The sequence below is a fragment of the Homo sapiens genome, chromosome 8 (genome assembly GCF_000001405.40).
Source record: "Homo sapiens chromosome 8, GRCh38.p14 Primary Assembly".
Classification (NCBI taxonomy): domain Eukaryota; kingdom Metazoa; phylum Chordata; class Mammalia; order Primates; family Hominidae; genus Homo; species Homo sapiens.
The window spans coordinates 36,850,409-36,869,348 of NC_000008.11; the positions used below are offsets into that span (position 1 = coordinate 36,850,409).

An 18,940-nucleotide genomic window follows, 5' to 3' on the forward strand; every position below is an offset into this window, starting at 1 on the left:
ACTTTCTTCTAAAAATTCTGTATTTGGCTCTTACAAAATCGGTGATCTTTTTTTTTTTTTTCCTTTGGGACAGGGTCTCACTCCATCACCCAGGCTGCAGTGCAGTGGTACAGTCATGGCTCACTACAGCCTTGACCTCCTGGGTTCAGGAGATCCTCCTGCCTCAGCCTCCAAAGTAACTGGGACCACAGGTGCCCACAACTATGCCCAGCTAATTCCTGCATTTTTTGTAAAGATAGGGTTTTATCATATTTCTCAGTCTGTTCTCGAGCTCCTAGGCTTAAGTGAGCCACCTGCCTCAATCTCCGAAAGTGCTGGGATTACAGGCATGAGCCGATGTGCCCAGCCTCTATGATCTATTCTGAGCTATTTTTGTTTATGGTAGAAGAAGAGGATCCAACTTTACTCTTTTCATTGTGGCTATCCAGTTGTCCCAAAATTCATTTATTCAAAAACTATTCTTGTCAAAAAACAATTGACTTTAAATATCTGGATTTATTTCTGGGTGTCAATTGTATTCTATTAATCTATATGTGTAACCTTATGCAAGTACCACACTGTCTTGATTACTATAGTTTTGTAGTAAGTTTGACACTGGGAACAATAAGTCCTCCAACTTTGTTATTCTTTTTCAATATTATTTTGTTTAATCTGGATTTCTGCATTTCCATGTGGGTCAGGATCAATATGTTAATTTCTGCAAGGAAACTAGCTGGGATTTTAACTGTGAGCCTTTTGAATCTATAGATAAATTTTGGAAATATCTTAATTATATTAAATCTTCTGATTTATTGATATGGTTTGGCTCTGTGTCCCCACCCAAATCTCATCTTGAATTGTAATCCCCGTGAGTCAAGGGAGGAACCTGGTGAGAGGTGATTGATTATGGGGATGGTTTCCCCCACGTTGCTCTTGTGAGAGTGAGTTCTCACAAGTTCTGATGGTTTAAAGTGTGGCACTTCCCTTCTCTCTCTCTCTATCTCTCTCTCTCTCTCTCTCTCTCTGTCTCTCCTACCACCATGTGAAGAAGGTCCTTGCTTTCCTTTTGTCTTCTGCCATGATTGTTAGTTTCCTGAGACCTCCCGAGCCATGCAGAACTGTGAGTCAATTAAACCGTTTTTCTTCATAAAATAGTCTCAGGCAGTTCTTTATAGCAGTGTGAAAATTGATTAATACACGATGAACATATGATGTCTTCATATCTACTTAGATCCTCTTTAATTTCTTGAAACAGTGTTTTATAGTTTTCACATCATAGGTTTTGTACTACTTTTGTTAATTTGATTACTAAGTATTTTATTTTTATTGCTATTGTAAATAAAATTGTTTTTTAGCTTTATTTTTAGATGGTTCATTTGTAGTATATACAGGTATAATTGATTTTTGTATATTGGTCTTATATCATGCAACCTCACTGAATGTGTTTATTAGTTCTAACAGTTTTTTGATTGCCTCTTATTTCATTTTCTTGCCTAATTATTGTGGCAGAACCATCAGTACCTTCTTAAATAGAAGTAGTGACAGCTTGTATTTTTACTTTGTTCCTGACCATAGGGGGAAGGCATTCAATCTTTCACCATTAGTTATGATGTTGGCTGTGAATTTTTCATAGATGCTCTTTATTTGATTGTGGAAGTTCTGTTCTATTCCTATATTGTCAAGGTTTTTTCTCATGAATGGCTTTGATGTTTGTCATTTTTTTTGCTTTGTTGAGATAATTATGTGGTTTTTATATTTTATTCTATTAATATGGTATATTGGATTAATTGATATCCAAATGTTAAACTCACCTTGTATTTCTGAGAGAAATCTCACTTGGTCATAGAATAGAATCTTTTTTATACATTGTTGGGTTTGATTTGCTAGCATTTTGTTGAGGAATTTTGAATCTATATTCAATACAAATTTTGGTCTTTAGGTTCCTTTTCTTGTATGTCTTTGTCTGCTTTTGCCATCATATGAAAACTCACCCCATAGAATGAATTGGAAATTCCCTCTTCTTTTATTTTTTGGAACGGTTTGTGAAGGGTTAGTGTTAATTCTTCTTTAAGCATCTAAAAGAATTTTACTTGTGAAGCAATCAGGGCCTAACTTAACATTTTTTATTATTAATCAACCTCTTTACAAGTTATAAGTTTTTCAGGTTTTCTACTTCTTCCTAAGACAGTTTTGGTAGTTTCATCTTTCTACCAATTTGTTCATTTAATCCACATTATCAAATTTATTGATTTATATACATCTAATCGTATGAGTATACATCTGATCATATAAGTATACATGTTGTATACTTATGTGTACATATGATATGCATAAGTATTGCTTTATATTTCTTTTATTTTTTCAGACCAGTAGTACTAATCTGTCTTTCATTTTTTATTTTGGTAACATGAGTGTTCTTTCTTTTTTGCAGCTAAACTTGCTACAATGTTTATCTATTTTGTTGATCTTTTCAAAAAGAACAACTTTCTTAATGGATTTTTTTCTAATTTTTTCTATTCTACAATTGATTTATTTTCATTCTAATTTTTATTATTTCCTCCTTTCTTTTAGATTTGGGTTAACTTGCCTTCCTTTGTTCAGTATCACCTAAGGTGAAACATTAAGTGAAGTAACTGATTTCAGATTTCTCCTTTCTTTAAAAAAGGAAAAAAAACTAGGCTGCCAGGTGCGGTGGCTCACACCTGTAATGCCAGCATTATGGGAGGCTGAGGTTGGCGTATCACCTGAGATCAGGAGTTCGAGACCAGACTGGTCCACATGGCAAAACTCCATCTCTACTACAAATACAAAAATCAGCCAGGTGTGGTGGCACATGCTTGTAGTCCCGGCTACTCGGGAGGCTGAGGCAGGAGAGTCACTTGAACCTGGGAGACAGAGGCTGCAGTGAGCCAAGATCATGCTACTGCATTCCAAGCTGGTTGACAGAGCAAGACTTCTCTCAAAAAATAAATAAATAAATAAGTAGGCATTTATATCTAAAAATTTCCCTCTAAGCACCTTTAGAAGCATGGTGTATTTTTAATGTGTTATGTTTTTATTTTCATTAATTTAAAATACTTTATAATTTCCCTGTGTTTTCTGTTTTCTTTTTTGTATGTTTTTGACCCATTGTTAAGAAATGTGTTGTTTTTACTTTCACATATTTGTGAATTTTCCTAATTTTCTCTTTTATTGTATTCTTATTTAATTCCATTGAAGTTGGAAAGCATACTTTGTATGACAAATTCTTATAGTATTTTAAGACTTGCTCCATTGTCTAATACATGGTCTATCCTGGAGACTATTCAATGTATACTTGGGAAGATCATGTATTATTCTGTTGTTAGATGGAATGTTATATGGATGTCTGTTAAGTATAGTTGGTTTATAGGGTCGGTTAAGTATAGGTTGGTGTGTGTGTGTGTGATTTTTATTTCTTCCTGTGGATTTGAATTACTGCCTAATGTGCTTGTATTTCAAACTCAAGGAATCCCGTTAGTATTTATTGTAGGGTTTGTCATATGTGAACAAGATCTAAGTTCTTGTTAATCTTAAAAATGTCTTAATTTATCATTTATTTTTGGAGGATAGTTTTGCTAACTATTAAATTCTTTGTTGGCAGTTGTTTCTCATTCAGCGCTTTAAATATTTCATCCTACTTCTTTCTGGCCTCTATTGTTTCAGATTAGAAATAGCTTTCAATTTGATTGGTCATCCTTTCTACACGATGAGTCACTTCTGTCTTGCTGACTTGAAGACCCTCTGTCTTTGAGTCTTACATTTTTGATTATGACAGGTCTCCATGTGTCAATCTCTTTAAATTTATCCTACTAGGAGTTTATTAAGCTTTTTAGTTGTGTAGATTAATGTTTTTCAACCACTTTGAGAAGTTATTGGCCATTATTTCTCAAATATTCACTCTACTCCTTTCTTTACTCTTCTCCTGGATCTTTCATTAAATCCTTTGGTACACTTGATAATGTCCCAGCGGTCCCTTAGGCTGTCTTCATTTTTCTTAATTCCTTTTTTCTTCTGTCCCTCAAACTGTATAATCTTCATTCACCTATCTTTGAGTATGCTGATTCTTTTTTTTTTTTTTGCATGCTCAAGTCTGATCTTTAGTTCCTCTTGTAAAGTTTTTATTTTAGTTCTTGTACTTTGAACTCCAAGATTTCTACTTAAAAAAATTTGTAACTATTTAATGACATTCTCTATTTTGTGAGACATCATTCTCATATTCCTTTTGGTTATTTATATATAGGTTTTTAAAGCTCTTCAAATATATTTAAATTAGCTGATTTTAAAAGTCTTTGACTAGTAAGTACAATATCTGAGCTTCTCTCAAGGATGGTGTCTATTGAGAGCCTTTTTCCTATGTATTTTTATCTTGCTTGTTTCTTTCCAAGTCTTATAACTTTTTGTTGAAAATTAGACATTACACAGGTTATAGTGTGTTATTTATGGAAATCAGATTCTCCAGTAGACTTTCCCAAAGTCTATCTCTCTGTCATTTGTGGCCATTGAATTTTCTACTCAACTTAGTGGTAAGCTTATAATTGGACAATGATTTTTGTTAAACACCTGGAACCAAGAAGTTTCTCAGTCTTTGTCAAAGGATTCTGTGTTTGTGTTGGGGCATGCCTTCAATAGTCAGCTGTAAAGTTGACAACTGTGTTTAGCCTTCATTTTCTGCTTGTATGAAACCTCAAGGTCAGTTAGAGATGAGAGCTTTGGAACTTCTCAGGCCTTTCTGCTTATGCATACAGCTTTACACAGTTCTGGGCATCTTCATTGTCATTTAGATTTCCAGTAATATTCCAGAGTTTTTCAAAGTCCCTTATAAGTAAGAAGACATTTTATTCTTCAGTTTTCCTTTTATGCTTTCATTTGGTCTTCAATTTGCCCTGCTATCTGTTGCCTCAGGCACATGTGACGTTAATATATTTGATAACACTCCCTGGGGATAGGCTTGTAGCACTAGATACATGCAAATGAGGCTGAAAAAGAAAAGCCATTCAAGTAGGGTTATGCAGGGAACCACCAGACAAGTCAAAATAATGACTCTTCTTTGGAAATAAGGCTTTTGAAGAACTGTATTTCTGCTGTACTCCCTCTAGTGCCAAGAATATGGAGTATTATGTTTTGAAAGCTATCGATGAGCTGTGGAGCTGGAGATGAAACTAGTGTAAATTAAAATAACACAAATCTTATATCTCTTACTGCTATCTATTTATTTCTCTCGACTAAATGTTTTCAAGGCTCCTGTTGGTTAGTTTCCAGAGTTCTGAAAAAAAAATAATTCTCACAAGTTTTGCCAGTTTATTCTATTTTTATGGAGGGGCGGCCTATCTCGTGTCCTTCCTCTACCTTTTATTTTATTTTTTTTCTGGTATCTTGTCTTCATTTTTTAAAGATAGTTTTCCTGGGTATAAAATTCTTGGTTGGCAGTTTATTTCAGCACTTTTCAATGACATCTTATTGCCTTCTAACCTCCATTTTTTCTGATAAGAAGTCAGCTGTTTCACATGTAAACCACATTTTTCTCGTGCTGGTTTCAAGATTTTTTGTGATGTAGGGCACAATTTAGTCCACAACAGTCACATTTTGAGGTTCTGGGTAGACACATATTAATATTTGGGGAGACAGTCTCCAATTTATTAACCCCTCTAGTGAATAATTAACATCAGTTAATGTACTTTTCAACTATAAAGCTTCTATTTTGTTCTTCTTAAAATTTGTATTTGTTTATGGATAATGTTTCTTTAGGGAGATATTGTCATCATGCTTTTATTTCTTTAATCAGGATTTCCTTCATTTCTTTCAACATATTTAGAATATTGGCTCTTAATATTTTTTCTGCTAACTCTGACATGGACTCTTGCACAGAAAGTTTCTTTTGCCTGCTTTCCCCACCCTGTGTATAGCTCATGCTTTCCTGTTAATTTTCATGTCTCATGCTTTCCTGTTACTTTGCATGTCTCATATTTTGTGTTGAAAATGGATATTGTAGATAATTATAGCAGCTCTGAAAACCAAGGCTTGTTGTTGTCACTGGTTGTTTAGTTAGTTGGCTAGTGACTTGGCTGAACTGTTTTATAAAATAAATTTCCCCTAAGTTTGAAGCTTTTGATGTTGCTCATTGGAGAGTGCAGCCTTGGACTACAGTGGTTAACAACCATTGGGCTTATAGTGGTTTTAGCAGGGCTCATTTTAATGGTCTCTTTCCCTGATCTCTATGGTAAGCTCTCCGCTTCTGTTAGTATCACACCCAGTTCCTAGACTACACTAGCAGGCTGCCTATTATTGTTTTTTATTATGCCTGAGTTATCTATTGCTCCACAGTATTACGCAATTAAATTTGGGCCCCTTTGTAAGAGTGGTTTCTAAGACCAGTCTTTGCAGTTTGTTCTGTCCCTAAGAGAACGGTTATTAACTGTACTTTTTCTGGTTCACTATGGTAAATTCTGACTTATGGTTTATCTTGTTCTCATGGAGTTACTAGCCTCTAATTAATTGTTTACCACCAAAATCACTGTTGTCAAAAAGCACCCTTGGGCTTGAAATTCTTGATACTCTGTTCCAAGTAAAATCAATTCCTTTGGGCGGAGCTTCAGAGCTCTTTGTTCTTATGGCCTGCCTCTCCTCCTGGGCAAAATCTCTGAGCCATTGCTCCCGAGCTTGCAGGATGGTGGGTGGTGTTGGAAAAGAAGACCTCCTCTGTTGAAGTGACACACCTGTTTTATGAGTAGGACACTAGCACTGGTGGTAGCCTCTGGCTTTCTTTGTTTGCTTCTCCCACTGTGAAACCTCTGCCTTGGGGGTGAGCTGGAGTCAGGGAGATTAATGCTTCATTGTTTTCATCCTGTGATACCTAAACAGAGCCTCACCTATAAATGAGAGCTGTGAAGAGTAAGACAGTCTCTATCCTCTAGGCTACACTCACCTGAAACTTAGTTTCTGCAACACAGAGTGGGAAGGGGATGAGAAATACTGAGGCTGTGTCCCTCACAGGGACATAGCACAGCATTTGACTGGGAGCTGGAGGGAGGGGGAGCCCTGCATTCTTGAGCACACCTGTCCAGAATGAAGCTTTTATCACACCCAACTGGGTTTGGAGGAAAGGAAGCAGTCTGTGGTTCAAGTGCCAAAGATTCTTTCTGCCCTTACTAAGATTTAGTATATTTTATTGAATACAAGTTTTCTTTGTTTTGTTTTGTTTTTTGTTTGTTTGTTGTTTGTTTTTTGTTTTTTTGTTTTTGTTTTTGTTGTTGTTGTTGAGAAGGAGTCTTGCTCTGTTCCACAGGCTGGAGTGGAATGGCTTGATCTTGGCTCATTGCAAGCTCCACCTCCCGGGTTAAAGTGATTCTCCTGCCTCAGCCTCTTGAGTAGCTGGGATTACAGGCGCTTGCCACCACATGCAGCTAATTTTTGTATTTTTAGTACGGATGGGGTTTCACCAGGTTGGCCAGGCTGCTCTTGAACTCCTGACCTCAGGTGAGCTACCCGCCTCAGCCTCCCAAAGTGCTGGGATTACAGGCGTGAGCCACTGCACCCAGCCACAAGTTTTCTTCATTTGCTATATGTTCACAGAACAATTTCTAGAGATTTTCAATGTGTGTTTGTTTATGTTTTGATAATTTCACTAGTTAGGGCTGTTTCACTGAGGAGCCAGTTTATGAAGCTTCTGCTGCTGCTATTCCACACCCAAAACTAAAGGCTCTGTCTTAACATTATCTTCTGTGAATCTTTGTACTTCCCCTTGAAAGTCTAAGACAATTTCAAGGATGGCAAAAAAAAAAAAAAAAAAAAAAACTGTTCGTATGTAATTTCCTGAAATCCCTGTTATCTACATACTGAAATCCCTATTTCTACAGGGTAATTCAACTGAATGCCTGAATCTGAAGATTATTTTTTTTTAAAATGTCTTCAAGACTTTATTTTGGGACTGGAAATTTAAACATGGACTCCTTACATTCAGTAAAAATGTGAATCTTTTTTGAAGCAATGGATGAGTCTGACTAAATAGGAAGAAAGTCCCATTAGAGGAAGGGCCCATATAAAAGAACAAGATAATATACTAAAAAGTATAATCTCACTATACATGTCATCCTATTGTATGTAAATTTAGTATAGTTTCATGCAGTATATATAGGCCTTTAAACACAGTGTACAAACCAAACTTTCTGAAAAGAAATTACACATACAAGCACACACATGCATATGCTTCTGTCATTCTGCAAACAAAAATGTTTTATAAAGATAAATAATCATCCCTTTTTAGCTGACTTTTATGACTTTACTATAAATATTTTAAAACAGGAAGTTGCTCTAGTATAAATGCTAAAATATTTCTGTATAAAAAGGAGGATTCTGCCTTTATGTTTGTAGACATGCCAAATTTTACCCACTTCTATGACATGTATTTTATGATATCTAGGGATAAGTTAATGAGACTTTCAATTTTCAATCTAGTTTCTTAGCTTCAATGTAGTCATCATACTCTCCAGAATCTTTCATTACTCTTAAAATAGAATAATTTCTTTTTCCTACCCTATACTGATCCCCAATCACCAGTATTACCAAGTCTATTCCACTCCAGCTGGAACTCTATTAATCTGGTACTGAGATTCTAAAGCAACAAGCAGCAAATGATCAACTGTTACTGACTTCAATTTGCCAGATGATGGCAGCAGAGTACCATGAAATGCTCACAGGTCAATGGCTTGGTGTGTCAATTTGAATCTGGAGATCCTGGTTCTAACTAAAATGTGCCAAAAGAGAACATTATTTTAGAAAGAGGCTGCTTGACCACATAGTTTTAAATGTCATGATAACATATGGGCATTCTCTTAGAGAATTAACTTTCAAAAAGGGCTTAGGAACTTATCAATAAATGACAACATAGAAACCTTACACTGACTGAATTAGTACAATTATCAGGTTGAATATTTTATGGGTTTAGAGCCAGTTAAGAATATCCTCAGTCCACTCCCTTCAAACAGTTATCTCTTTAATGAATTCATTAAATTTCCTTGGTCCCACTACTTTCTCCCCGCTACTATACTCAATGAGAACCCAGAAGACTTGAGTTGTGATCACAGCTATTCCACTGATTACTGTGGTTGGCGAAAAACATGTTAGCTTTTGGGTTCTCAGTGTAATCATCTCCAAAGAGGGGAATTCTCAGTGTCTATGGCCCTTTTCAACTCTGGTGCTCTATAATTCTGAATCCCTCTTTTTTTGATTACTTCCATTTTTCCAAACTAGAACCACACTAGAGGTTCTCCAATTAAATTCATAATCAAATATTTTACAGAGGAAACATAGAGTGCTGGTTAAGAACATGAATTCTGGATTGGCCATTTACTAACTGTGTGACTTTAGGCAAATTATTGAAATTTTCAAGGTGCTTCAGAGTTTTTTGAAATGTTGACAATAACATTGCATATCTCAGAAGGTTAAATGAGAATATCAGTACATAAAGAATATATAAATTGGTTATATTAATATAAAAAGCATTAAGCCTAGTGGCTGGCCAATAGTAAGTTCTGCATATATGATAATTATTATGCCACCCATGGGAGCACAAACTCAAAAGGAATCTTTTTATTTTTTTTGATCAATGAAATACAGATAAAATAATAATTGAAAGAGAATTCCTAGTAGATTATACTTATTTTAACCCATTACCTGATTTTTTTTAAATTTGAGATGGAGTCTCTCTCTGTTGCCCAGGCTGGAGTGCAGTGGTGCGATCTCAGCTCACTGCAGTCTCCGCCTTCGAGGTTCAAGTGATTCTCCTGCCTCAGCCTCCTGAGTAGCTGGGACTACAGGTACCCGCCACCATGCCCAGCTAATTTTTTGTATTTTTAGTAGAGACAGGTTTTCACCATGTTAGCCAGGATGGTCTCAATCTCCTGACCTCTTGATCCACCCACCTCAGCCTCCCAAAATGCTGGGATTACAGGTGTGAGACACTGCGCCTGGCCCATCCCCTGATGATTTTTGGGTTCACAGCATAAACACCAGTAGGGCTAAGCCTTCAGAGTAGGAGGAATAATTGTCTTTCTGACCTTCTTCTTAATGGAATTAGATAAGTTTTTGGGCATGAAGTTTCTCAGCCTCAACTCTACAGTTCACTACCTGCTATTTCTTCATTGCAGTTTCTAACACCTAGGATTTAAGAATAGTAGTATTCAACCAGGGCAAGGAGGGGTGCATAAGAATCTTTACATGTGATAGAGTAGAGGGAATGGGCAATATGAAAATAGCCCTTAGGAAAGTTGTGCCCAAATTCCCCTAATCCCCATCCCTTGAGAACTGTTTTAGAGTCTGCATTAAAATGCTAATATTCTGCAATACAGTCAAATCTAATGGAAAGCAGAATTCTGAAAAGGAAATTGGAAAGAGGGTGCAAAAACAGTTAGGGACAGGAAAAAAAATGACAAGAAATGAGTTGAGTAGGTGGTCCAAATATGGATTTATTTTACTTTACAGTTTTCTTTAGGTTTGGCCCTGGGTCACTTTTTTTTTTTTTTATAAACATTCCAGACTATTAATTGACCTTTTTAAGGAGGAATGACCCCAGCCAACGTTTCCTAGGGAGGAGAACTCTAAACACATAAGGTAGAGATTTACCTACCCTAATGAATCTACCAGCTCATCTTCCCAGCTTAGCTTATTTAACAGCAATGAAGAACAGTCAGAAGTCCCCTGGTCTTAGGTTAGGTAGGAGAAAGAATAGGAGATGGTTTCTGCATACTTTCTTCTCTAAGAGTTCAGGACCACATGTCCACCAAATTTCAATAAAAAGAAAAGCAACTTGGTAACAAGTCTGTAAAGACCCTGCACAGATATATTGCACTCCTATATTTGTGTCACTTGCAATTATTCTTCTAATGGTACAGTTGAGTGTGGCTTTCCATGATTTCCAATCGTTAGCATTAATTCTGCCCCAGTTGAGGCCTTCTTTCTCATCCTAGTGACTACAATAGCTTTCTACTTGGTCTCCCTGGCTCTGGTCTCCTTTCATGCCAATCCATGATGTTTTTCTTAGCTATAACAATTTTTATGGCATTCTGATCATGAATGGATACATAAATAAATAAGGAATAGATAGGCGACTGTTACCCCACTTCTGCAAGACTAAGGCATGAGCTTGCTCTGTTGCCCTGTTGCTTTTTCGGCTTCTAAAACTAGTGGTTTTTATCTAGAATATGTAATATCACTTTTTAGGAATGTCACAATGAGTGGTAAAGTACTATATTTTATAAATAATTGCAACAATTTAGCTATTTAGTAAATTGGAGAAGATTCGGGATAATCTGAATAATATAGGCATTATTTTCACTCATTTGAACAATGATAAAACTTCTTGAGGGAGATATAAATAAGTGGAATTATTGCTATCCATATGGAAATCACATATGAGGCATTTCTTAAAATGAAGTCCTATCACGTATTCCAGAAAAGGAAAGATTTGCTTGTTGCTTTCAAGGGAATTGCTTTTTGAAAGAGAAAGGTAACCAAAATGTTGGCCATGTATTTAGAAGGACTTTCATTTTTTCTAGTCATTTACAGGTCTCAGATCCCATGGTTTTCTTTGTTTGTTTGTTTGTTTGTTTGTTTGTTTTTTGGTATCCAGTGCTTTATCTAGAAATCTGTAAGGTATCCATAGGGAACTCATGGTAAGTCATGACAAGACATTAACAGTCTAGCTAAAGTGTTAGGAAAAATCCATTTCAACTTTCCTCGCCTAAAATAGATTTAAAATAGTTAGCTATAGGTAGGTAGGTAGGTAGATAGATAGATAGATAATAGATAGATAGAAAAAATATAAATAAAATGATCAAACAGAATGAGATCAGAGAAACTTCATTGCTTATCTACTGCCTTGAGGAAGGGACTTTGTCTTATTTTTTTCTTAAATTTTTTCCTCAAATATTTGAAGCAATATTGAAACTGGGGATAAACTGTTGCAACTTCTTTGTCTGCCTTATCTTGCAACCTGGTAAATAAACAATTTTCAATTTCCTTTTTGAATGCCATTAGAATTATAGAATTTAGACCTGGAAGGAATCAGAAGACATAACTTGGGCCAGTTTGTCCTTGACCTTCAGGTGGTCAACACCAATCAGAAACATCAGCAATCCCCATACAAGCTGTTCTGTCCACCCCACACACATGCACCTTCTTCCATAATTATGAAAGCTTTCAAAATTATAAAAGTCATTAATGTGTTTTCAGATGAGGTTTTAAGAATGATTCAAGGAAAAATTCAAAGCTTTAGCAAAGATTTTGAGAGTTTCACAGAAAGCACTCACCCCTCCCACTTATCCTTCCCCCAACCCTCATTTTTTTAACAGCTGACACATGTTATTGGCTGGAGAGTTAGGCTTTGAGAAAAGGAGAGACGTCCTAAAAGTTCTATAATTCCTAGGCTAGTTCGGGCATGTTGTCTTAGACATTCCATAACCCAGTTTCCATCACAACCAGCCAGCCTTTAGAGACTGACAGTTGGTAACACAGCTAGTCCTTGCTCAGATTTTACTTCGGGTGTTCCCTTCCCGAGCCATTCCCCCCAGGGCAAAATGTAACCTTGAAATAAGGAAGCATCAGTCAAGTGAAGGCTTCTGAGGATTACAGGTAGGGTAAACTTAATTCCAAACCCATCTCTTAGCACACCTGGCTGATGCAATCACTGCCAATTTAAGTTGAGAAATCACATATCCAAAGGATGTCCTTCTTCTTCCAGAAGTGTGTTTTGACTTAGTTGATGTTTTTATGGATTAGAATGGTTCAGAAAATAATTACATCAAAAGAAAGAGGGATACCAAGACATTTTCATGGCTTTTTCTGTCTGCCACTGATCAAAATGAGGTGATAAGTGGGATTAAGGGCTTGTCCCACGTGAACTCCCCACTGTGGCTAGTCCAAGCACAGAAATAATGCTTATGTTGAGACAGTAGGAAAAGGTCATGTCTCCTTTCTCCACTTGGGTGGGCAGGGGAAGAGGAGTATCAGTGATGACTGCCCCTTGATGTAGTCCACCTCCTTAGGAACTTCTGCTCAGACAATCTCTCCATCTCTGATCACCAAGCAATCAGGTTCTGGCAAGCGGATCACACAGGCTCTTTGAAAATTGAAGAGAAGCATTTAATTTGCAAAGCATTGTTTAGAATATGTTTTTTAAAAATCACAACAGCAAGTGCAAATTCTTATTGTGTGACAATGCCTACCTAGCCCAGAGGGTTGGAAATGATTCTTGGGTTGAATCTGGGTTCCAGGATAAGAACTGCATGATTGTATATCAACATATGGGTTCAGGAAGAAGTAATGGCTCACCTGTCACATTTTTCCCTATTAAAGTGGCTTCATGGTGCTCATTGAATCTATTAATTTCAGCATTCTTGCATGTATCCTTATAATCACCCTTCAAAGTCATGGTAGTATCCCCATACTGAAGGAGAGAAAATGATTTCTTTTTGTGTTATTTCCAGATTTGGAAATACACAAAAGTTTTGATATGCATTTACTGTAAGATCGAGATTCTTCAAAAGTCAAAATTAATAATAAAGAAAGCCTCAAAGAAAACATAAAGCAAAAGGAGGTGATGTCCAGGCAGAATGAATTGCAAGCCTGGGCAGCATCTGCAGGAAGGAGACAGGATTTTTGTAGAGTGATGCTTTCTTAGCGTCCTAAGGTGCCTCTAGACATGCTGTAGCAAATGCACTTGGGTGAAATGGGAGGGGTGATGGATTAGAAAGGTGCAGCAGCTATTGAGTAGGTACTTATTTTAAACACACCATATGGAACTGAAATTCTCTCTCACTCCCTAATTCTGTAGAAGGAAAGCAAAGAGTTTGCTACAATTCATCCTCTTAGAACTAGGCTGTAGCTGAGACTCCCCAGCCTTTCCCTAGTCAAGGGTCTATAAATGGCTCAGCCAAGGGGAATATTCCAACAATCCCTTGTGAAGAGATGTGCCAACTCACTGAGATTTCTATCCTATTGCAGTGCCATCGGTAAAGAGAATGAAAAAATGTCTGAAGGGAATCTCCTCTCGTATATCAGGGCAGGATTCTCCGCCAAGGGTATCTGCAAGCACTTCGAGCATATCAAACTTCACCACCAGGTAAAAGCTGCAGAGAACCCTGGTCTCCTATAGTTTTTTTGAGAATCAGTGGGCCATATATATTGTATTTAAACCAGAATATTTGCTTTATAAACTCCTATACTGACCAATGGAATTGTTCCTCCCCAAAATGAGATCATCTCCACCTTGCCCATATCATTAAGCTAATCAAATACACCTCTTTCTTCCATTGCTCAAATCATCTGTACCCATAATAACCCAAAAGTTAGATACCCAACTTTCTTTCACACCACCTTTCAGGCACTTTAGAAATGTAAGTTAGAGCCAAATTTTAGCAGCTCCAAATAGCTTTTCTGTTGTTAATCAATCCCCTATTTCCAATACATTCAAGATGTGATTGTCTTAGTTTTTGCATCTGCAAAATATGGGCAACAAATCCCTCCTCCCTGCCCTTTTCCTTGCAGCCTTTTAGTACACTAAAACCTCCACTAACCAGAAAGAAGAGTTGGAGGAGGATGACCTGCTTAGTTGATTTTAATTAGAGGGGCAATTCAAAAGTTCTATTATTCCAAACTTTAATGAAAATGACTCTGTAATATCTTGACAACATTTCAGTTTATTAGGGATAATATACCAGGAAGATCTTTGATGATTAAAAACTGTGATTATCTAAGGGTAAATATATTATCAAAGAGTCGTTATACTGTGGCATTACATAATGTTATAAATATTTTGTACGTTTTTAATAGTGATTAAATGAGATTAGGTATTTAAAGCACTTTGCTGCTGCAGCCAGTATGGAAAACAATATGCAAGTTCTTCAAAAAATTAAGAATAAAACTACTATATGATCCAGCAATCCTACTTCTGGGCATTTATTCAAAGAAAACAAAATCAGTATTTCAAAGACAATTCTGTACTCCCATGTTCATTGCAGCAGTATTCGCAATAGCCAAGATACAGAAACAACCTAAGTGTTATTCAGAAAATGAATGGGATAGGGCTGGGCATAGCAGCTCATGCCTATAATCCCAGTGCTTTAGGAGGCTGAGCTGGGAGGATTGTTTGAGCCCAGGAGTTTAAGACCAGCCTGGGGCAATATAGAAAGACCCTGTCTCTGCAAAAATTAAAAAAAAAAAAAAAATGAGCCAGGCCTGGTGGCACACAACTGTAGTCCTAGCTACTTGGGCTATTGAGATGAGAAGATTGTTTGAGCTCGGGAGTTTGAGGTTACAGTGAGTTGTGTTCATACCACTGCACTCCAGCCTGAGTGACAGAGCAAGAGCTTGTCAAAAAAAAAAAAAAAAAAAAAAAAAGAATGGATAAAGGAAATGTCATACACACACACAGAATATTATTCACTCCTAATAAAGAAGGAAATTCCTCCATTTGCAGCAACACGGATGAACCTAATGCACATTATGCTAAGTGAAGTAAGCCAGACACAGAAAAAGAAATACTGCACGATATCGCTTATATGTGGACTCTAAAATAGCCAAACTCATAGGAACAGAGTGGAATGGTGGTTTTCAGAAGTGGTGGGTGGGGGAAATGGGGAGCTGTTGGTCAAAAGGTACCAAGGAATCACTTTGCTTGATTCCCGGCTGCTAGTATGTCCTCATTAAATGCTGCTTATTATTGCAATGATCAATTCTCATAGCGAGGAAGGTATTTAGAATTGGGCTGAGAGTGTAATAAGTGCAGAGCCTTCCAATGATGTAGATTTTGCAATAAATCTTTTACTTGTACTTGGTTTTGATACAATTTACCTATTTCTTTTAACACACACAGAGTCCTCTTCCGTTTACCTGAGGATTCTGGATTGTTGGGTCTGGTTAATGGAAATTTTCCTGTACCCTCCCAAAGGTGGGGTTGGAGTCAAACATCTGAGCCACCAATTTTCCCTTCCTTTTATGCACTTTCTAAGAGCAATATAAAAGTCCGGGAATTACAGTTTGTGCCCTTCCTGCCTTCCAATCCCAGATTTTATAAAGTGGATGAGATAGCCTATGGGAAAGCACTGAGAAGTAGTTGAAGGAAAGGTCTTGGGGCATTTCAGGGACCCAAATTTTGCCTGGCTATTTCCAACAACAAAACAGTCACAGATGAGCACTGGAATCTGCAGATGCTTTTTCTCCAAAAATCCTTGGTAAATAGGCATTTATTGAGTAGCCTGTACGTGCTAAGTAGGCACCATGCTTGATGCTTTTGTAAATGTAGAAATCATGTTTCAACTTCCATGCTGTCTAGATGGGTGAACAAGATGGATTCACATAAAATGAATCAGAGGCCAAAGAAAGAATAAGTGATAGTTTTTGGCAGCACCGTAAAGTGACTATAGTTAATAACAATATATAGCATATTTCAAAATTACTAGAAGAGAAGATGTAAAATGCTCCCAATGCAAAGAAAGGGTTCACCCGTGAGGTGATGGATATTCTAAATACCCTGACTTGATCATTACACATTCTACACACATATCAAAATATCACGTGTATCCCATAAATATGTACAAATATTATGCATCAGTACAAATATACAGAAAAGAGAGGTTAATTTTCTTTCCTAAAAAGTACAAGGGAAAGAAGTTGGAAAACTTTCACAATAAAAAATTTTTGCAGTTCAAAATAAACACATAATAAAAGCCAATCAGTTAATCAATCAGAAGCCAAATAAAGTGGTAGTCTGTCAAGTGCTACATTGATGGTTCTGGCAGAAGGTAGGGGAAGACGAGGTCAATGAGAGCTGGAAAGATTGTTCTAGAAAGCTTCCTGTTGGGGGTGGGATTTAGAAAGGTGGGAGACAGTGGGAATCTCAACTTCTGTGAATAGTGTAACATGGATAAAGCCTGGGGGGAATGTGGCATTTTCCATGCAGCAGCTAGCCAGCCTGACGAGAGGAGAGAATGCACAGTAGAGTGCCGTGGGAAAGTCTCAAATTTATCAAGAACACAGTCTTGGATTTTGGTATTGTGCATGCATGCATGTGTGTGTACACTATGTTTATGTTAATGCAAAGTTGTTATAAAAACATGATTCAAACTTGAAAATTGTTTGTGAAGACATAAAGACAACATATGTGATAACACAGAAAATGCTCCAATCATGTTTGTGCTTTTGTTTATTCTCTCACACGTCTTCTCTGTGATGGTAAAGGGTTGGCGAGCCATAGATAATCAAACGCCACAGAAAATTCTCAAATGTAATTTTACCCATTCAGTTTCACTGGCTTTTCTTTCTATTCTTTAGCACAGCTGTAAAAACAAAAATAATTTAACATATCAGAATTTTTCCCATTGGTTTTAATTCTCGTCTGTAATAAACAAGAAAATGGTTTAAAGCAGGCATCTAAAGGGAGAATGGATCCAGACAACCTGGTTCATCTGTAGACCCAGTCTGTCAGCCCTATTTCTGGTTGGGGATCCCTAAATATGCTTTTGACCCCAAGTAGACCAGAGATTGTGATAGTAACCCATGAAGATGATTGCTAAAGCTGATGATTAATTCCCTTGCACTTCTTAATTCAAAATCAAGGTAGGTTTGCATGAATTAAAGAGCTTTAAAGAAATAAACGAGAGCCACGCTTCAGAGTTTTTTAGATGGTGGTATATCCTTGAACAAATATGTTCCATTTGAGGGTGAGTCTCTGTGATATTTCATCAACAGAGTTGGTTAGTTCAGGTGACTTACGTACCGTGTTAATGGGTCAGTGATAGAGTACTCCCACTTAGTACCATAGAAAACAGTTTGTGTTTGTTTTGTGTTTATGTTGTAGGACAAAGGGAGTTCCAGCTAGCAAATTGGCAACATATGTCTAGAGGATCTATGTTTGCCATAACAACAATGAGTGGTAAAATAAACTGGATGGCTTAATAGAGACTAGTAGGCATTTTTGGAAAAAAAATGTAAAGTATGTGCTATGTGCTATTTGTGATCCATTTTTTTTATGCCTTAATAGTCTTATATTCACAAACCAAAAGCAACATATTATTATTTATAGTTTTGCTGACAATGAACTTGATATTTTTAAAGATGTAATCTTCAGGCCACCAGTGGGTTTTCCAGTAAGTTCAGAAACTACTATTTTCTATTCTTAGTACTTAAAGCATTACAGACAGCCCTAACTTATACAAAAGTTATTATCCAATATTTTATGGTATCCCTGATGTCTTTCTCTTCCCATAGAATAAGCAATGTTATAAACAGCAGTTATGTTGTCAGGCTAGCACACAAAAGACTGTTTAATAGATGGTAGTTAAATATATATTTGTTGAATGAATAAGTATACAAACATTAGCTCTATTTGCTTGAATTTTATGTCCTTAAATCAAGGGATCACATGATATAAGAGAAAGAAAGTATTTCCTGTTTCTTTTCAGGGAGATAAAGTTAGACCTGTGCAGTGTTTTATAGTAAGTGAAAATGAATCTCATTCATTTCTGGAGCTCCCTGGTCCTAGCTTCCAATTTCTTTACCTTGGCCATTCCACTTTGGGTGAGTTACGACAGTTTTGCCCATTCTACCTATTACACAATTATTTACTATTCTCTGCTTCTTCTCTATCAAAACTCTCTTCTTTAGTAAAACTGATTTTAATTAGATATTAGAAAGAAAAGTTTTAGATACAACTGATTTGTATGATGTTGTGACTAATAACACCATAACCACAATAAATTATCCAGCTTTCTAAAAAGTAGGTGCGAATAATCTCAAGTGAGTAGTGAAAGATATTTAATCGGTGAAACAAGGCAGAAATTTCCAAGCATTGTATAACAGACCTGGGCCAGGAGAGGAAAACGTTTTTAATAGAAATGCTTGTTTTGTTTGGCCCTATCACACTTTCCCTGGAAATTCTCCCTATTGGGTC

The 18,940-nt window shown here is 36.7% G+C and overlaps 1 protein-coding gene across 8 annotated transcripts in view; it reads left to right on the forward strand.

Annotated features, from left to right (window-relative positions):
- Positions 1-18,940, forward strand: part of KCNU1 (potassium calcium-activated channel subfamily U member 1) — a 151,752-nt gene that overhangs the window by 66,035 nt on the left and 66,777 nt on the right. For 7 of the 8 annotated variants that reach the window (NR_134267.2, NM_001031836.3, XM_011544426.3 and 4 more), the window contains one exon: positions 13,996-14,113. Coding sequence is in view for 6 of the 8 variants with exons in the window: in NM_001031836.3 (NP_001027006.2) it covers positions 13,996-14,113 (118 nt within the window). In the remaining 2 variants the exon portion in view is untranslated. Of the gene's footprint in view, positions 1-13,995; positions 14,114-18,452; positions 18,568-18,940 lie in introns of all 8 variants that reach the window. The other variant, XR_001745486.3, reaches the window with a different exon arrangement.